General features: G+C 44.5%; 1 protein-coding gene and 1 long non-coding RNA gene across 34 annotated transcripts in view, besides 2 other annotated features; one reads left to right on the top strand and one right to left on the bottom strand.

The window, feature by feature from the left end:
• Positions 1–20,755, bottom strand: part of NRIP3-DT (NRIP3 divergent transcript) — a 63,704-nt gene that overhangs the window by 14,800 nt on the left and 28,149 nt on the right. The window lies entirely within an intron of this gene.
• Positions 1–20,755, top strand: part of SCUBE2 (signal peptide, CUB domain and EGF like domain containing 2) — a 72,124-nt gene that overhangs the window by 38,608 nt on the left and 12,761 nt on the right. For 13 of the 33 annotated variants that reach the window (XM_047427365.1, XM_005253036.5, XM_017018081.2 and 10 more), the window contains 4 exons: positions 2,282–2,386; positions 4,894–5,049; positions 5,430–5,636; positions 19,196–19,366. In XM_047427365.1, coding sequence (XP_047283321.1) covers positions 2,282–2,386; positions 4,894–5,049; positions 5,430–5,636; positions 19,196–19,366 — 639 coding nt within the window. Of the gene's footprint in view, positions 1–159; positions 247–2,281; positions 2,387–4,893; positions 5,050–5,429; positions 5,637–7,090; positions 7,276–19,195; positions 19,367–20,755 lie in introns of those variants that run through there. The other 20 variants (XM_047427356.1, XM_005253034.5, XM_011520246.3 and 17 more) reach the window with 8 other exon arrangements.
• Positions 5,453–5,954: an enhancer, noted in NCBI's record as "H3K4me1 hESC enhancer chr11:9068585-9069086 (GRCh37/hg19 assembly coordinates)". NCBI's record gives its function as "activates a minimal SCP1, AML or CMV promoter by ChIP-STARR-seq in naive H9 embryonic stem cells {active_cell/tissue: H9 hESC(naive)}" and the evidence as "EXISTENCE:reporter gene assay evidence [ECO:0000049][PMID:30033119]".
• Positions 13,697–13,746: a silencer, noted in NCBI's record as "silent region_3119". NCBI's record gives its function as "represses an Ori minimal core promoter by ATAC-STARR-seq in GM12878 lymphoblastoid cells {active_cell/tissue: GM12878}" and the evidence as "EXISTENCE:reporter gene assay evidence [ECO:0000049][PMID:35858748]".

Raw genomic sequence — 20,755 nt, 5'->3', positions numbered from 1 at the left:
CCCGACCACCGTGCTTTGAGAGGTCCATGCTTCGAGACCCCATATGCTGGGCATTTTTCTAGTGGCCCATGTGGAGTGGGGTGGGGGGACAGTTTAGCTGCTACCAGGATAGCCTGTGACCTTGCTTATGCATTTGACAATTGACATTCTGTCTGTCAGGACTGCAAGGGGCCTACTCTGTCACCTGTGGCTCTTCCTCTCCTCTCAGGAACAAACAACAAAAATCAAATGACTCTGCTTTTGGGGGTAATTACCAAATCTGCGTGTTCTCTCTGGGGGCTCACTGTGTTCAAGGGGCTTCATTCACGGGGTGCTGTTCTTGGACATTGGCTTTGTTTTTTTTCTGTTAATTTCCTTGATGCTGTGAGCATGTTCCAGGGTGTTGTTGCCTGCAGTCCTGGTGCCCGGAATGTGACTCTCCCATGTAACAGATACTTACTGTGTGGCCACTGTGTGTCAGGAGGCTGTGGTCAGCCCTGGTGGGTCATCACCCTGGGCAGAGGCCCACAGAACCCCAGGACCAGCAGGCTGTACTCCAGAGCACCTCAAAGGCCCAGGGAATGTGCCTGGAGCACATGGTGTGGATAGAAATAGGCAAAGCAGGGGCAGCAGGGATTCTGTGCCGAGAAAGGGGCCCAAACCCTTTCCTGTTTGTCAAAAGATGAAGAATGAAATCCAAGGTTTTTAGGAGGCTGTGTCCTCCCGGATATAGACGCCTTTGTCATTATGTCATTGGAACACCTGAATGAGGTTCATATTACATCCTGATGTTCATATTACATATATGAGCAAAGCTAGAGACTCAAAGCAAGACAGTACAGCTTGTATGTGTTGACTGAGCAATTCAAATATGCCAGCTACCATAGTACACGAATTAACTGACTTAAGCCATACTACAACCCTCTGAGGAAATTTTACTATTATTCTCATTAACCAGATGAAGAAACTGAGGCTCAGAGAGGTGAAATAACTTACTCAAAGTGGTTTAGATAAGAAATAGGGGAGCTGGGATTTGAACCCAGGCAGTCTGGGTCCAGAGTCTCAAGCACTATCCTTCACTGCCCCTTTCAATGCACGTTTGGACTCAGCCAGGGCATACATCATGGTCTGTTTCGCCAAATCCCTCAGTGACAGTTCCTTGGTGATTTGGGCCACCCCAAGGTGGGGCAAGCAAATAGCTAATGGCTATGCAGTTATTACTACGTACCAGGCAAGGAGCTAAACATTTTCCTTTTTTTAAATGCATTATCTCATTTTATCCTTACAACAGCCTGGTAATATAGGTACTATAATTATGCCTGTTTTACAGATGAGGACACTGAAGCTTAGGGAGATTAAGTAACTTGCTCAAGTTCTCACCACAACTTAAAAGAGCTGTAGGGCATTGACTCCAGATCCTACCGGATGGTTAAGACTGACTGACCCTGGGAGGAGAACAGAATTTTGCACATCAGGCTCTCACAGTGGGACCCTCACTCCCTCTCAGACCTCAGAGCCTAGCCATGTTTAGTGAGTGCCATCTGTGTCTGGAACAACAGCTCCCTCAGCCCTGTCCTCCCACGACGGGCTTGTTTAGGAGAATCTGCCCTTCACCGTTTCGCCAAACGGGCTTATCCAGATTTGAACTGGGGGATTCTGGCCTTTTTTTCTCAGGAAGGCACAAAAATGACTTCATGTTCTATTTCACCGTGGAGGCTATTTTTGACCCTCAGTTTTAGATAGATAGATAGGTAGATAGATAGATAGATAGATAGGTAGGTAGGTAGATAGATAGATAGATAGATAGATAGATAGATAGATAGATAGATAATTTTTTGTTTTTTTTGAAATGGAGTCTCATTCACTCTGTTGCCTAGGCTAGAGTGCAGTGGTGCAATCTCAGCTCACTGCAACCTCTGCCTCCTGGGTTCAAGCAATTCTCCTGCCTCAGCCTCCCGAGTAGCTGGGATTACAGGCATGTGCCACCATGCCCGGCTAATTTTTGTATTTTTAGTAGAGATGGGGTTTCACCATGTTCGCCAGGCTGGCCTCTGTTTTATTTGAACACTGGATTTGCCTCTCACATGAGGGGGTAACTGCAATTTTAGGAGGCTCCTGGTGGCCCCAGTCCAGGGCAATGGGCACTCCATGATCCAAGCCACTCTTAGCCTCAGGGTAGGAGAGGGTCTCAGGGTGTGCTGTGTGTGGTGGAAGCCACCAATGGACAGCTTGCTGCTTCCCATCTGGTGTCTCCATTCCTTTGCCTCTGAAGGTAACATCTCTCACTTGTTTCTTTCTGAAGATGTCACCACCATCAGGACAAGTGTAACCTTTAAGCTAAATGAAGGCAAGTGTAGTTTGAAAAATGCTGAGCTGTTTCCCGAGGGTCTGCGACCAGCACTACCAGGTATGGAATCAGGTGGTTGGTGTAGGGAGCTTGCCTGCATGTGGGAAGGGGCCTGCAGCCAGCCGAGCTGGAGGTCCATGGGGGCCAGGGGCTGTCCAGCCGATCCAAGCACACTGCAGATGGAACTGAACCATCCCCAACTTCCAGGGACTCATCCCAAGAGGAAGAAGAGCATAACCTAGCATGCTTGTATAGTTCTGGGGTCACACTTCGGGGCTTCCTTTGCATGGTATAGTTGGTGAGGCTCTGGGGAAACCCACGAGTTCACAGAAGTCAATAAGGGCTTCAGATGAATTAGCAATTTGTGATCATATTGGGTTAAATTTTCTAGATCTCAGATTTTGCTTGAAATATAAGCCAAAGAAATGAAAAAAGGTTTGGCTCAGAAAGGATAACTTTGATGAACAAAGATCTAATATCCAGCCTTCCTGCTGGGTCTAGTTTTTGGAAGCGGTGACCCCATTGGCTTCAGCAAAGCAAATACCATCCAAGTAGAACTGGCCTTATTGAGAAGAGCAGAATCTAACATTCCTTTTTCTTTCCCAGCACACATTTCCAGTATTATTTTATAGAATTCTTTTGGAAATTAAAAATAAAAAGGATCAGGATTCATGTATTAGGGAGGCTTCTTTTCCCAATCTACTCTCAAATCACACAGACAAATAAACCTAAAGCTCACTCTAGTCACTTTTGACTGCCTATTTTAGGTAAGTATTTTTAAGAAACTTGGTACCTCCATTTGATGGAATATTATGCAGCTATTAATTCTATGTTTTCAAAGAATGTTTAATGACACAGGAAAATGGTCTTGTTATAATGCTGAGATGTAAAGCAGGAGAGAAACATTTTGTATATCTAATACAATCCAAATTGTGTAAGAAAAACTGTGGTAGAAGAAACAAAAAGAAAACTCACCCTATCATTAGTAGTGGTTACATCTGGGTGGGAGGCATGGGTAATTTTAATTTTTTTTCTGCATTTGCCAAATTAACCATAGTGAGCATTTATACTTTTAAACCTCAGGGGTGAAGGGAGGGGCCATTGCTTAAAAATAGATTTGAACCAGTTGTGGTGCCTCATACCTGTAATCTCAGCACTTTGGGAGGCCAAGGCAGGCAGATTGCTTGAGTTCAGGAGTTCAGGAGCGGCCTGGGTAACATGACAAAACCCCATCTCTACAAAAACTATAAAAAAATTAGCCGGGCCTAGTGGTTTGTGCCTGTAGTCCCAGCTACTCAGGAGGCCAAGGCGGGCGGATCACTTGAGCCCAGGAGGTTGAGGCTGCAGTGAGCTGTGTTGACACCACTGCACTCCAGCCTGGGCGACAGAGCGAGACCCTGTCTCAAAAAAATGAAATAAATACAATGATAAAAATAGACTTGGCCTATAGTTTACTTAATGGGATTGTACTAGTGTTAATGTCTTAGTTTTGATAAATGTATGATGTTAACGTTAGGGGAGACTGAGTGAAGGTTATGTGGGAACTCTATACTATCTTAGCAACTTTTCTATAAATCTACTTATTTCAAAATGAAAAGTTAAAAAAATATATATGGAAACATCGAAAGGGAAAAAGATTTAAAATGAGAATCTGTTCAGTTTAAGATCTGAAGTTACCCTTTTGAAAAAGTAAGATAAATCTTTAGGGGAAAAATGTAGAGAAGAAATAAATCTGCCTCCTTCCTGTGGCCCCTGTTGACCTATGGCTTGAATGTCCTTGTAATGTTAAAGAAGAATCTGATACAGGCAATACTTCATTTCAATAAAGATTTTGAAATAGAGACAAATTCATGGAGTGGATGATATGTGGACCTGCTCTTTGGTGAGGGTTAACAGATTCACTGGAAACCATGGTGAGAGGGGAGACAGCCAAGTCAGGAAGAAGGATGTGCAAAGCCCTGTCATGCAACACTTCCACTCTCATCCTAGATGCCTTCATGATATTGTTAGGTTCTGTTGATGCTTTGTACCATTTATTGCTCCTGGTTATTTAAAAATGAGACATCACTGCTGACGGGTGTTCCAGCTTTCCTTTCAGGTTAGAATGACTCCAAGGTCAGTTTGCCTGAAAGCAGTAGTTGGTTTCCTTTCCACTCTTGTGCTCATTCCTTATTTGAAGCCTCAGCCCCTGCTCGGCACATCCAGCTTTATGCAAACCAACTGTGAGAGTGTAAGCACACGTTAGCAAACCGTCAGTAAGGAATGCAAGACAATCCCTGGTTCTTGTCTTCCACATATGTGGCTAGTCAGTCGGAAACATCTCCCATTTATTCATGAAAAGAATTTTCAAGAGCTAAATTGTAAAGTTATATAGGAGGCAATGCTAGCTCTTCAACATTAAAATGTCGTTGTGCTCCAAGTTAAGGGCTTGCAGTGTCTTGGCATCTGGAGATAATCACTTAGTCCCTTGAGAGTTGTTTTAATGAAATGTTTACTGAGCTCTAGCAAATGTTCAGCTGAGTGCTTTGCCAGGATTTGGCTTCCGATAATTTTGTTTCTTCATACAGAGAAGCACAGCTCAGTAAAAGAGAGCTTCCGCTACGTAAACCTTACATGCAGCTCTGGCAAGCAAGTCCCAGGAGCCCCTGGCCGACCAAGCACCCCTAAGGAAATGTTTATCACTGTTGAGTTTGAGCTTGAAACTAACCAAAAGGAGGTGACAGGTTGGTTTGAAAACAGTCTGCATTGCCAGGCTTCTCACGGCTTGCTCCTTATTTCTTTGCCTTTCACTTTTTATTATTCTTGGGGGAAAAGTAATGCAAACACTGAAGTATCTCCTGTTTTTTTTCACCCCGAAACTAAACTGAATTGGTTTGGAACCTGATGGTTTTCTCTGCTTCATAAAAACCCAAAGCTACCATTCTGATCCACAAATTTCTGTTTGAATCAAATGCTGCCCAGCCTGCTAGGTGCCCCCTCCAGGTTTCTCCCCATTCGGTCCACAGGGAGCTCGGGGTGTTGGTAGGGCCTGCAGTTGATCTGGCCATTGTCACACGCTGCAGCCTGATCTCCTCCCGCACTGCTGTCCCTCTTGTTTCTGTAGCTTCTTGTGACCTGAGCTGCATCGTAAAGCGAACCGAGAAGCGGCTCCGTAAAGCCATCCGCACGCTCAGAAAGGCCGTCCACAGGGAGCAGTTTCACCTCCAGCTCTCAGGCATGAACCTCGACGTGGCTAAAAAGCCTCCCAGAACATCTGAACGCCAGGCAGAGTCCTGTGGAGTGGGCCAGGGTCATGCAGAAAACCAATGTGGTGAGTGGCCTGGGACATTCTTGCTAACAGAACAGCCTTGGGCTCCATAAACACTCAGGGTAACCGAAGGCAAGTCTGGCCCATCCTCCCTTCTCAGGGCTCACTTTAGAGAACACTCCGGGCAGTGCTTCTGTTTCAGTAACTGTTGCGTTTGTGTCTGTCGTCCCTGCTAGGCCCAGAGCTCCCCGGAGTGAGACTGACCTCATTCATCTCCCTGTCCTCAGCACCTGGCATAGTATCTGGCTTGTGGTGGGCACTAAAATGTTGGTTGACTTGAGGAACAGGAAAGAAGTGGCTGATGTTCTGATTCCAAAGCCTGTGCTCTGGTCCCAAGCAGGGTGAATTTCAGTAATTAGATTTCTCCAGGATAAACTGATGTCCTTTTCCTAAGTATCAGTAGAATCATGAGGCCCAAGCTTAGCTAAGGAGTAAGAATCCCATTTGTATTTCTAAGTAAGCAAAGCTGAATCCAGGGGCACTTGTTCCAGAGAATTGTCAGCCTTAGGCCCACAGCTCAAATTTGTTGCTTTGCCAAAACTTAGTGAAAATCAAGTGCAAAATCAAGTGTAACTGTCTACAAGAGGCTGGTTTCCAGATAGTCTTGATTTTCATTCCAGCTGATTCTCTTAAAAAGAAACAAAGTGGAAAAAAGTAAAAACAGCCCAGCTGGTTGATCTGTTCTCATTTAAAATTCTAAGAGTTCCAGTTTCCGTACTAAAATAGTGGGGAGAGTTGGCTGTGGCTGCCCTACTTTCCAGGATGAGTTGCAGAAACTGTCAGGGCCCTCCTGGCCTCTCAGGGTTACACTGCACCCCTCCCCCGTCTGCTATCCTGTTGGGGTTAGGCCTCACGGACGGGCCAGGGAGTCTTTGTGGCCAGTTAAAAAGTCAAGAAAACCTAATGTCAAGGGCCCCATGGACTGGCTCCCAGTGAGGGTATCACTAATACTACCATGGGTATGTTCCTGGGGAGTAAAGGCCCAAGGATAAGGAGCAGGAGTTACTTAACAGGGGCTTCATGACCACAACAGCCTACGAAAGACACTCGGGGCCAGGCATGATGGCTCACACCTATAATCCCAGCACTTTGGGAGGCCAAGGCGGGCAGATCACGAGGTCAGGAGATCGAGACCATCCTGGCCAGCATGGTGAAACCCCGCCTCTACTAAAAAAATACAAAAAATTAGCTGGGCGTGGTGGCGCGTGCCTATACTCCCAGCTATTCGGGAGGCTGAGGCAGGAGAATCCCTTGAACCAGGGAGTTGGAGGCTGCAGTGAGCCGAGATCGTGCCACTGCACTCCAGCCTGGGCGACAGAGCAAGACTCCGTCTCAAAAAAAAAAAAAAAAAAAAAAAGAAAGAAAGACACTCAGTAGAGGGTTTGTGTAGCTGTGGTGGTGTGTGAATGTGTCCCTGAGATGCTTGTCATGCTAAATTAGGTTTGATTTGTTTCTAGGGGAGCCAATGTGTCTTGTCTCAGGAGCTCCCAAACACTGGATGAATTCTGTAGCCCTCACAGCATCAAATCAGGTCCAGGTCTGACAGCAATGTTGAAGATTTTACCATGCAGAGAAAACGGCTCAAGCAGTTACCAGTGACATTCCCTCTTGCTGCTGAGGGAGGAAGTGGGTGTAAAGAAGTGTCAGGTGTGTTAATTAGAAAGGCTTTTTATCCAGAAGGCAGCATGTGGCATAGACAAGGCTGTGTGTGTGTGTGTGTGTGTGTGTGTGTGTGTGTGTGTGTGTGTCTGTCTGTCTGTCTTCTAGTCCTGGTCTATTTGATGGTGTTAGGACTTCATAAAGACCAGGCTTGCTGATGTTTTCTGAGCTCTGGATGGTACAGTGGAGACAAGCTTAGGATAGTTCCTTTTAGAAATGATTTTCGGTATTTGCAGAAAAGAGCTCAAAAAAAGAAAAATGGAGTCACTTCCATCTCTCCTGGGGGGAGAGATGGAACCATTATGTTTATCTTTTTAAATATTTTAAATTTAGTTTTCAATTATGAAAGTAGTGCCTGTTTCAAATGGCACAGAAATGTATACAGTAAAGATGAAAGTTCTCTCCACAGCTCCCTAATCCAACTCCCCAGCAGTAATCACTGTTATAGTTTGCTGTGTGATTTTTCCACAACTGTTTTTATGCACATATAAAAAGGAAATTTTATATAGTCATTCAATAAATATTTATTGAGCACCAATTGTGTGCCAGGTACCATTCTAGATATCAGGAATCCAGCAATAAAGAAACACGCAAACATCTCAGCCCTCACAGAGTTTACAATTTTAGAGGAAGAAGGTAGACAACCAACCAATAAACGAGGAAAGATACTACTATCATGTAGCAGAGGGCGACAGGGATATGGAGAGCAGGGCTGCAGGGAAGTGGAATGGAAAGTGCCAGGCCAAGGTGAGGGGTGAGGGATGAGGAGCGTACTCCCCCAAAGTGCAGACTGTGGTCAGGGAAGGCCTCATTACAAAGTGTCATTTGGGCAGAGACGCAAAGGACAGCAAGAAGCAAGCTATGGAGATATCTGGGGGAAGAGAGTTTCAGGCAAAGAGAACAACAAATAGGAAAACCCCAAGGTACTGGAAGGAAGGCCAGAAGGATGAGAGCTGAGAGAGGCAGGGAGGGAGAGCAAGGGCAGAGCAGTAGCAGAGGGAACTCGAAACCAGGGAGGACCCTGATCCCGAATCTGATGAGAAAGGAAGCCAGTGGAGGGCTTTGAGCATAGGAGTAACTGACATGTTTTCAAAAGATAACTTTGGCTACTGTGTTGAAAGTAGACTGTAGGTTTACGTATGAATAGATATATCTTTTTAAAAAAATAGGCTGGGTGCAGTGGCTCACATCTGTAATCCCAGCACTTTGGGAGGCCGAGGTGGGAGGATCACTTCAGGCCAGGAGTTCAATACTAGTTTGGGCAACATAGTGACACTCTGTCTCACTATGTTGGTTGGTAGCACCTGTAGTCCCAGCTACTCGGGAGTCTAAGGCGGGAGGATCATCTGAGTCCAGGAGTTCGAGGCTGCAGTGAGCTATGATTGTGTCACTGCACTGCAGCCTGGGTGGCAGACCAAGAGCCTATCTTAACAAAATAAAAAACAAATATCAATACAATTTGAATAGTGCTATGTGTTGTTTTTAACTGTAGTTAGATCAAGAACATCTCTCTAACATGATAGCGGAGCAACCTCATTTCTTTTACAGCTTCCCAGGCTGTATTTGTTTGAAGACACCAGTATTGATTAGCCCTACCCCTACTGGTGAACATAGAAGTTATTGCTAATTTTTATATGGCAAATAGTGCTCAATGAATATCATTCTTTGTACACATGGCCAATATTTCTGAAGGATAGACTTGCAAAAGTACAATGGCCGACTCAAAGAACTTGCATATTTAAAACTTTAATAGATACTGCCAAATTACTTTCCCAAAAGATCATGCCTATGCATGTCGCTTCCAACGTTGGAAGCATCCTACATCTTTGCTAACATGGATTATTTATCATTGATCCTTTTCATTTTTGCAAATCTGGTAAGCAAAAAAAAAAAAAAATAGTCATTTTAACTTGGTTTTCTTTATTAGTAAGACTAAGCATGCTGTCTTATGCCTGTGGTCATTTGGATTCCTTCTTCTGAAAACATCTATATTCTTTGCCTATTTTTGCATTGAACTGTTTGTCCTTTGTATAGCATTAAAAAATAAATTTTAAAGTCCCAATTTACACCAGAGAAAATAATCACTTCTGACCAATTGTATATTTTCTTTCTTATCATTATTTTATATAGTAAAGTTTCATTAATTTGGCATTTGGGGACTTTGGGGACAGCCTGCTCTCCAAGTGACCTTTGTACCATCTGTGATCAATTTTAACAAGATGGCAAAAAAAAAAAATGATTATAGGGTCCAAGGAACAAATTTCTTAAGCTCTGTAGTACTTCATAAAGTTCTTCATGTCTAAAGAAAATTAACTATATGACATGGATGTCTAGCTATTGTACTTTCATAATACCAGCTAAAAGATAAATTATTTAAGAAATACACTGGATAATATATATGTGTGTGTATGCATGTGTGTGTATATATGTATGTATGTATGTATGTATTATATATACTGTATTTGGTTGTTTTGAAAACTTGCTGAGATTTTTAGAAGAAACAATCCAGACAACTGGCAAACTGGGAAGTATTTTAGTGCCTGGGTTCTTGAGAGACTAGGAACATTTAATTCCTTTTGTAACAGCTTACTGCTGTTCCTCTGCAGCAACCTTGGATATGTTGCTAAGGAGCCTCAACTTTATCTCTAGGTGACATGCTGCCATTGGAGGATTTACTCGGGAAGTGTCCAGGTCATATGTGTATTCTAGAAAGATCTCTCTGACTTTACTGGAGGGAGCAGAATTAGAGGCAGAAAGACCAATCTGGGGGCTTTTGAATGTGTTGCCTATGAGATACTGAGAACATGCAGGTCCTAGATAGAGAAACAGCAATGGGTTAGAGAAATATTTAAGAGGGAAAATGAGCAGCATTTGGGGATGACATGGATTGGGGACTGAGAAGGGGAAAGAGGTGGGCTGAGCTCAGAGGATTCTGATGTGGCCTGTGATCCTGGCACTTGCTTCCCATACATCCCTCATCTCACCATGCCCTGTTTCATATGCAGGAGGCACTGAGAAAACGCCAGGGGGTTGGTTGAATGATGAAATGAATGTGATCACTGGGGAAGAAATAATCAGAAGAGATTTATAGGAGAAGCAGGAAAAAAATAGGCTCTTGAGAGAGCATGAGAAAGGATGAAAAAGATACATAAAAGGAGGCTAAAGCCTGAATATTGAGTCAGAGAAACTGAGAGGAGTGCAGGAAGGCAAGGCAAGGAGGTTTTTGAGCCAGGGAGTGAAGCAATCAGAAAAAGAGTTTAGAAAGGTGCATCTGATGGTAGAATGGAAAGAGTGGAGGCAGGGAGGGACAGAAAGCCAGGGGAATCTTGGAAGGTTACTGCGGCAATCCAAATAAGAGACGGTGAGGATCTAAGGGACATTCATGCCATGGGGACGAAGAATAGGGGATAGAGAGAAGGGACACAGCTGTAGGATGCTGCCGCTGAGTGACAGGGCAGTGAGGAGAGAAGCCAGGGAGAGCTGTGATTTGGAGCCTTGGTGCCTGGGAAAATAGAGATGCTTCTGTAAGAGGAGTAAAGCCAGAGGCCAGGGAGAGAAGTGCTCCTTGGGCAACAAGATTTCTAGGCAGAGGTGTCCATGGGTGTCTGGGAGTCTAGCGAAACAACTTCTTCTCTTCATGTCCAGCCTAACTTGCCTAATCCCGAGTCTGTCCACACAGGCTCAGACCTGCCTCCTGTTAAAATGGATGGGCAGCCCATGCCTCTAAGGCCCCCCTCTATCTTGCACTCAAGCTGGAGCCTGTTCTCTCTCAGCTTCTTAAGAATGTTGCCCATGCTGTCCCCATCAACCCCTCCCATCTCAGAATTCTTCTCCTCTGCTAGATCATTTCCAACATCACACAAACCCATCTCCTGTCTTAAAAACCAAACAAACCCTCCATTGACTTCATGCATCTCTATAGCTACTGCCTCATTTCTGTGTCCCCCATTCTGTGTAGAACGAAGCTCTTTGAAGGAGCCGTAGTCATACTGTCTTTGCCTCCTTACCTCCCATTTCTCTTCAGTCTGATTTTCATGCCTAACCTCTCCACAGAAACATTTTCCAAGATTCCTAACCACCTCTGTGATGCCGAATCCAGTTGCCTTTCCTCACTCCTCATGAGGCATCCTCTCTGCTGATCACTCCCTCTCCTGGAAACACTTTCTTCCTGTGGGTTTCAGACACAACACACTTCTGCTTCTCCATACCTCACTGGCTGCTCCCTTTTCATTTTCAATGCTGGTTCCGGTTCCTCCCCTACTTTCTGATTATCCTAGGGTTGAATCCTTCGTCCCTTCCTCTGTCTTCACACTCTCCTTGGTGACCTTACCCAGTGCCATAGCTTTAAATACCACCACATGCTGGCGATTCTGAAACTGCCCTCTCCAGCTCCTTTGTCCCAGAGATGCTGAACATTTAAGAATGCACACACACACATTCTCTCTCCCTCTAAGTAAAATATATATGAATGTTTACTTATTTATAAACTATATACTTACACTATTGGCTAGTACACTATGTTCATCACAAAAGACAGAACAAGATAAAGATTAAACAAATTTAAAAATAACTGGCTAGCATCTTAAGGTAGAATCTTTACAATTGGGCGAAGTTCATTATTGATAGTGGTGGTTGCAAATCCATTTGTCCTATAGTCTTTTTGACTATTGCTAGTGCTTTAGGTGAACTCTTGACAGACCAGATTAAATCGTAACTGTTTCTGTCTCATGATGTAGTTTGACAAAGAGGTAATACACTAGTGCCTCCTTATAGGCAGTTTTGCTTTCTGTGGTTTCAGTTACCTGGGTCAACCATGGTCCAAGAATATCAAATGGAAAATTCCAGAAATAAACAATTTGTAAGTTTTAAATTGCCCACTCTTCAGAGTGGTGTGATGAAATCTCGTGTTGTCCTGCTCCATCCTGCCTGGGATATGAATCCTCCCTTTATGCTGCGTACCCACGGTGTATACCCTCCCCATCCTGCCTGGAATATGAATCCTCCCTTTCTCCTGCGTACCCACACTGTGTACCCTCCCCATCCTGCCTGGGATATGAATCCTCCCTTTCTCCTGCGTACCCACGGTGTATACCCTCCCCATCCTGCCTGGGATATGAATCCTCCCTTTCTCCTACGTACCCATGCTGTGTACCCTCCCCATCCTGCCTGGGATATGAATCCTCCCTTTCTCCTGCGTACCCACGCTGTGTACCCTCCCCATCCTGCCTGGGATATGAATCCTCCCTTTCTCCTGTGTACCCACGGTGTATACCCTCCCCCATGTTAGTCACATAGTAGTCATCTCAGTTATCAGATTGACAGATCACAAGAAGGGTGAGTACGGTACTATAAGATACTTTGAGAGAGAGACCACATTCACATAACTTTTTATTATAATATGTTGTGATAATTGTTTTATTTTATTATTATTGTTAATCTCTTGCTGTGCCTAATTTATAAATGAAACTTTATCATGAATAAGCACGCATAGGAAAACCCCTAGTGTATATAGGGTGTGGTACTCTCCGAGGTTCCAGGCACCCACTGGGGGTCTTGGATGGGAAACCTCCGCTCCACTGTGGACACGGGTGGCTGCTGTGCTAGGAGCAGAAGATGCACCCACGGGCCCTCTCCTGTGGTGCGGACGCGCGTGGCTGCTGTGCTAGGAGCAGAAGATGCGCCCACGGACACTCCTGTGGTGCGCATGGGCTCGCGTCACGTTTACGCCCTTCAGTCGGGTGTTCTTTCCGGGAATCCATCAAAGCTGCTTTCTATTTTGTGATGGTTAGTTTAGTTAAAAACACGATCATATAGGTCAGGACATCTCATTACCCAGGCATAGCTAAGCTGTAACTATTCTCTATGTATTGAGAGGCGAGAGTCAGTCAGTGCCCTGCGCCCGAGTTGTGGGTGCCAGTGCTTCTCTTTTCTTGGCGACCCTGGCTCCTCACATGTGTCTTGTGCCTCACAGAGATGGAGACTGGCTGGGAGGCTGCTCTTACACCATATTCTAAACCAGAGGAGCTTCGTTTGTTTCTTATTTTAGGTGAAAATTCGTAGGCATGGGTGTAGAAACGTGCTCCCACCCGGTGGATCATCTTGTCAACCCCCGAGGTGTAGTATTCCGCCTCAGAGACCAACAGTAGAACCCGTGCCTTCCTAGTGTCCGCACTTGGATGGCCAACTGGCATCTCAAACTCAGTGTTTCCAAACAAAGCTTCTTATCCTCTCAAGCTTCAAATCAAATCAAACCAGCATCTCAGTAAGGGGCACCTCGCCTCACCCAGTTGCTCAAGTGGAAAGCCTGAGTCATCTTGACCTCTCCCTTTCTGTTGCGTTCCTCATCCAGTCCGTGTGCAAATCCTGTCAGCTCTGCCTTCAGGTAATTTCCTTTATCTGACCAGTTTTCTCCTCCTCCGTTATTATTACTGCTCTGTTTCAAGCCACCGTCATCTCTAGCTCAGTCTGTTGTACCAGGCTCTGAATTGTTCTCCTCAGCCTTGCCTGGCCTCCATCTGTTCTCCACACAGCAGCCAGGACATCTCTTAAAAACATAAATCAGGCTGGGTACAGTGGCTCACTTTCGGATGCCGAGACAGAGGACCACTTGAGCCCAGGAGACCCTATTTCTACAAAAAGTTAAAACATTAGCTGGGCATGGTGGTGCAAGCCTGTAGTTCCAGCTACTCAGGAGTCTAAGGTGGGAGGATCACTTGAGCCCAGGAGGTTGAGTCTGCAGTGAGCCATGATCACTCCAGCCTGGGTAACAGAGCGCAACCCTGTCTCCTAAACGAAAAAAGAAAAGAAAAGAAAAGAAAAGAAAAGAAAAACATAAATCAGATTGTGTCACTGCCCCATTTCAAACCTCCAACATACTTTGGGTAAGGTCTAATTTCCTTACCATGGCCTTCAAGCACCCATGTGATCTGGCCCTTGCTTGCTTTTTAAAGTTCCTCTCTTATTGCCCTACCCCCTTATGCTGTGTTCCTACTACACTGCCTTTCTTGCTATTAGGCAATCTCATTGCAAGGCTATTTCCTGTTTTTTTTTGTTGTTGTTTTGTGTTTGTTTGTTTGTTTGTTTTTTAGACAGGGTCTTGCTCTGTCACCCAGGCTGGAGTGTAGTGGTGTGATTTTGGCTCATTGCAACCTCCGCCTCCTGGGCTCAAGCTATTCTCCCACTGGCATGCACTACCACGCTCAGCTAACTTTTTAAGGTGATTTTGGAAAGACGAGGTCTCACTATATTTCCCAAGCTGGTCTTGAACTCTGGGCTCAAGCAGTCCTCCTGCCTCAGCCTCCCAGTGTGCTGGGATTACAGGTGTGAGCCACAGCACCCAGCCTGTTTCCCACATTTTATTCTGGTCTCTGTTCAGAAAGGCCTTTCTTGGCCACAGTTCTAAAATAGCATATATACAAACTCCATCCCTACCCCCTCTTTGTAATCTTCCCCTGTTTTCCTTTTCTTCATCATACTACTACTTGCATTCTATTACATACTTATTTGCTTGCTCATTGAGATTTATTGCTCATTTATTTACTGCCCTGAGAACCCCATTAGAACAGGGTCATGTCTCTTCTCTGCTGTGTCTCCAGCTCCTAGAACGGTACTCAGCACATAATGAGTGCTCAATAAGTACTTATTGAATGAATGAGTAAATGAATCTTCACAGGGACAACAGATGAAATCCCAAGGATAGTAGATAACATTAAGAGAAAAGAGGGCAAAGGGCAAATCTTTGGAGAAATATTTAAATTGAGGGCAAAAAAGGCACTCTAAAGGAAGTGAAATTTCAGCTCCAGTTAACTAGGCATGAAAAGAACATAGTGTGCATTTGGGAACCCAATAAGGAAGAAGGCATCAAGCTGGGCTCATTTCTCTGCCTCAACTACAGGAATGTTTTTAAAGAGCAAACCTGAGCACAGGTCAAAAACCTGGACAATGAAAAATCAATCTCTCAGCCCAAGAAGGACTGTCCCCTGTTATCATGGGGGCAGTCATTTAAAGAGAGCTCAAACCAGGATCCTGAGGCCAACTCTGCCTGGGGCATCAGCACCTCTGGACTGGGACAAAGCAGCAGCCCTGGGGCACCCTGGGAATCCACGTGGGCTGCTTATGGCTCTTCTTCAGAAGTCAAGGCGTGATTCTTAAGAAAGCAGTCAAATACTAGAGGGTGACCCCTTTTATTAGGTTCATCATCTTAGCCACAGAGAGACCATAGTGTTTGTCTATAGCCTGAAATACTCAAAGGCCACAGTGCTGAAAAGAGGCGGAGGCTTCAAGCTTCTTTGTCGCCATTAATCCTCATCCTGCTGGTCTGTCCCTTTTGCATCAGAAAAGCTTTCTCGTATCTTTTTTAAAGAAGGAGAAAAAACAGCTGTGTGGGATTTGAGAATGAGATTTTAATGGTCACTGAAGGCACACAAAAGCTTTGCTGTGATAGTGAAGTGTTCTGGGGGCAATTGACTCCTTTGTCCTGGGCAGCAAAACAAGCTGGCTGCTGAAGGAGAAGAGAGAAGCCACTGGAACGTGTGATTGAGGTCTCTGCAGGCCAGATTCTCAGCACATTTGCAAAGAGCGGTTTTCAGGCATCCCTTCATGATATTTCAGAGTTGCCTTTTAGTGTTTAGCTCATTTTTACCTTGTGAAAGAATCAAATATATTTGGGAGGTGCTTGGCATGAATTATTTCTGCAGGTCTTTCTCTCTGGAAGGAAAATGGACACTGTGACTGACAATATGAGTTTGTTTATGTGAAGCAGGCCTTTCATTGTGAGGAAAAAGAACTGGTGCCCTCTTTTCCACAGGGCAGCCTGAAGGGTTTCTTGGCACTTCGAGCAGTTAAGAAATGGCACAGAGGTGGGATATTGTGAGGTCTCTCTAAAGGTCACCTTGCAAAGGCTGTGGAGGTTGAAAGAGTTCTCAGCAGCAGGGACAGCAGAGCAGCAGGAGCCCATCCTGGTCCCTGGCTCAGTGAGAACCAGGCCTGGTGTTGTCCACCTGCTGAGGACATCTGTTTTCTGCCAGAGGAACCATGATGGAACAGACCATGGTGATGTGACTCTACGTTATGATTAATGGGGCTGTTGGAATCATTGTCACCATATCGGCACTTTCCCTTCCGTGGATGAGTATTGTAAAAACAGCTCTTCTTCAGATAGAAATGGCTGAGCAGAGGGGCTCTGGACAGCCTTGGTTTTACCTGCTTCATGACAGGTGAGCTCCTTAGAGCCATGAAGGAGTTATTCTCTGATATACTGGCCTGCTACAGACACTGAAAGAGTCAAGTGGGACACAGGGTAAAACGTGAGTTCGTAATACAGAATTCAGCCCAGCTTTACATGAGAGATGGGCTGGAACCAGAGCGATATGGAAACCATTATCCAGTAGGGCTGCATTTAGAGAAGAAGTCTGGAATTATACTCTATTTGCCATCAGTCTCATTATAATATTGTTTGCCAATAAAACAAGAGTTTGGTTCACTTTTAATTTTTTAAAAATATAAAATTGTAGTCGGCCATGGTGGCTCATGCCTATAATCCCAGCAGTTTGAGAGGCTGAGGCAGGTGGATCACCTGAAGTCAGGAGTTCGAGACCAGCCAGGCTGGCATGGTGAAACCCTGTTTCTATTAAAAATACAAAAAATTAGCCCGGCATGGTGGTGCTTGCCTGTAATCCCAGCTACTTGGGAAGCTGGGGTGGGAGAATCGCTTGAACCCAGGAGGCGGAGGTTGCGATGAGCTGAGATCGCGCCATTGCACTCCAGCTTGGGCAACAAGAGTGAAAACTCCATCTCAAAAAATCTATATATATAAAATTGTATTTAAATGATACATGAATGTTGTAAAAGAAAATCCAAGAAATATGAGTATTAAGATTTAGATATTTGGATAGACTTTATTAATTGGTTACATTGAATTGTAGAAATAATATTTAAAATGTGGCATATTTTTTGCTTACCATGATCCAAAAGCCTGATTTTTTTTTTAAGATTTTGGAATGAATAATGAAAAGACATTTTTATTTCTTATAACAGAGAACGTTCCCATGTTTAACCCTAAGAATATATATGCAAATTGCATTTGTAGAATAGGATGAAAACCGATCTCCCTTGTTACAGACACTGGAGAGCTGTAATAGTTAACTTTATCATGTAATTTTTTTCTATTTCTTGGCAGCTTACATATAGAGAATGTTTGTTCCAGTCAAACTCTCCTAGCCCCATAGAGAATCCTTGATAAAGTCTTCAACTGCACTTAAATCTGCCCGTTTGTTAAATAACTTTTTTCCCTTTTAAACTCAAAGCTCTTGATCTTACAGTACCATAGGAGTATTTCACAAATTAGCTGTGGGACTTTGGCCAAATTATTAACCTCTCTAAGTCTCTGTTTCTGTAAAAGGGTGCTAATAATAGTACCTAGATCCTTAGGGCTGTGTTGAGGAATAAATGAAATACTATATGTAGAGCTTTTGACATGGTGTCTGGTATAAGTACTCAACAAATGTTAGTCATTAGAAATGCGATGACTCTGATGATGTTTGAATAGTAGGGAGCCAAATTTGGTATGTTTGCTTCATATTCATAGCCTAACATAAGGTACAAATCTACATTTAACAGTACTAGAAATAGAACCAGAAGCAACATTGATGAATTTCCTTATTTACCAGCATTTACACTTTGTTGTATTGATTTTTTTTTTCTTTGAGACAGAGCCTCACTCTGTGGCCCAGGCTGGAGTGCAGTGGCACCATCTCGGCCCATTGCAACCTCCGCGTTTGCAGAGCTCAAGCAATTCTCCTGCCTTGCCTCCCAAGTAGCTGGGATTACAGGTGTGCACCACCACACCCAGCTAATTTTTCTGTTTTGTTTGTTTGTTTTTTCAGTAGAGACGGGGTTTCTCCATGTTGGCCAGGCTGGTCTGGAACTCCTGACCTCAGGTGATCCGCCCACCTTGGCCTTCTAAAGTGCTGGGATCATAGGTGTGAGCCACTGCGCACAGCCTGTTGTATTGTTTATTATGAACCTGAAGTGTGCTATTTTGTAAGGGTCTTGAGATCACCACCCATCCCAGCCGGCCACCAGAGAATGAACTTTTCAAAACACAGCTTCTGGACATCTTCCTCTTCTTTTCTTTCTTCTTTTTTAGAGAAGGGGTCTCATTTTCACTATGTTGCCAAGGCTAGACTCAAATTCTTAGGCTCAGGTGATTCCATCTTAGCCTCCCCAGTAGCTAGGACTACAGACGCACACCACCATGCCTGACTCCTGTCCTTTCAATGATTCCTTTACCTGTGACAATAAAATCCAAATGCCTGGCACTCAAGAACTTTTGCAGTCTATTCCCAATCTTTTCTTTCCTCTCCTCCTGATTTAATGCATGAACTTTTAGAACCTGCCCCCTTTCCCAACTGCGAAGATCCTATTCATCCTTCAAGGCCTGACACAAATGTGACCTCCTCTAGGACACCTTTCGGGATGCCACCAGACAGAATTAATAACACTCTGTTCTTCCAGCACTAGACCTATGTTCAATGAATGATTTTAACCTCTATAATTGTGTCAACAGCCCTGTGAAGTAGGGAGATCCAGGATTTTTAAAAATCTCTCTTCAACCATCAAGTGCTTGTGCTACAAAAATAATTCGAACCCCTGTGATCCCTATTCTCAAGGAGCTCATGGTCTAGGGAGAGACAGAGCTGTAAACACCTCTAACGGGGCAATGAGGATCAAGCTGTGCAGAGGTGTGCAGAGAGAACCAAGGCAGGGCACACTGCGTATTCAGGGAGTTTGCATGCCGTGGGTGGTGTGGTCAGTGCCATCTATTTGCCTTCATCTCTAGAACTCACATCATCCTTCCTTGGCCTTTGTGTCCACACTGACCAGGTTGTTTCCCTTTTGGCTAGTCAGTTGCAGGGCTGGGACCTATTATGATGGAGCACGAGAACGCTGCATTTTATGTCCAAATGGAACCTTCCAAAATGAGGAAGGACAAATGACTTGTGAACCATGCCCAAGACCAGGAAATTCTGGGGCCCTGAAGACCCCAGAAGCTTGGAATATGTCTGAATGTGGAGGTAAGGATGCTGTCTGTTCCTTCCTACTCCTCCCATCTCTGATGTCATTGTTTAGACAGAAGGCATCTCAAGGACTCCAGACAATGCACACTCACCCGGGGCTTCCTACAAGCAGGGACCACGTTGGCTCGATTCATCTTTGGCTCACCAGTGCCTAGGTCAGTGCCTGACACATGCTGGGCAGATACTCATTTGAGCAAATAAATGAAGATGGGGTAGAATACACTAGCAGAAGAGCGTAAGTGTTGAAACTGCGTGCTTTCTTCACTGGAAATATATACACCTGAAACCTGAGTGATTTCCCTATCTATAGGTACTGTTTTGAAAGTGTTAAAATGAAGAGAGGAGGTCTGGGTTTTTCTCCAGCTTTGGTCTCAAATTCTTAGCTTTTTTATTTAAAACAAATATATCCGTTTATTTTGTTAAAACTGGGACCTCCTCTGTGAAGAGCTTTTCATTATCTCTTATAAAATGTTAACTTTGAAGTCAATCTCAAGCTCTGTGGGCTTTCCTATTTATTTTATTATTAAATGTCTTCCTTTTATTAAATGGGAGAAGGGCTGGCTGTATTGACACTCTGTGGGCTCCAATGGCAGGTGTGATCTGAATGGTGATTTATATCTGATGGCCACGGCAGAGTGAAGACCCCTCGTGCTGCTCCCACGGCTGTCCTTGGAGTGACTCCCAGCCTCAGCTTTATTTCCCACCTAAATAACTCCAAACTGAACTGCAAGGCTGTTTCTGGCTTAAAAATCAAATCCTCATATTGACTGTGTGACTCCTATCATCTCTTTGGTCTGTTATAAAACTCCAAAACTAACTGCAAGGTTGATGAGGGGTGACATTTTGGCATGAATTTACCCTTGTATGTGACATTATTATTATATTTTCTTGAGACAGAGTCTCACTCTGTCACCAAGGCTGGAGTGCTGTGGTGCAATCTCGGCTCACTGCAACCTCCACCTCCTGGGTTCAAGTGATTCTCATGCCTCAGCCTCCAGAGAAGCTGGGATTACAGGTGCGTGCCACCATGCCCTGCTAAATTTTGTATTTTAGCAGAGATGGGGTTTCGCTATGTTGGCCAGGCTGGTCTCAAACTCCTGACCTCAGGTGATCCACCTGCCTCGGCCTCCCAAAGTGTTGGTATTACAGGCGTGAGCCACTGCACCCGGCCTATGTGACCTTATTAAGAAAAATTTAGGCCAGGCATGGTGGCTCATACCTGTAACCCTAGCACTTTGGGTTCAGGATCACTTGAGCTCAGGTGGCTAACCCTAACCCTAAGACCAGCCTGGGCAACATAGTGAGACCTCGTTTGTAGAAAAAAATTAAAAAAAACAAAAAATAGCTGAGCGTGGTGGCACATGGTAATCTCAGCTACTTAGGTGG

This window comes from Homo sapiens, chromosome 11 (assembly GCF_000001405.40).
Source record: "Homo sapiens chromosome 11, GRCh38.p14 Primary Assembly".
NCBI classification, from domain to species: Eukaryota; Metazoa; Chordata; class Mammalia; order Primates; family Hominidae; genus Homo; species Homo sapiens.
This window is presented reverse-complemented; position numbering and strand designations above follow the sequence as displayed.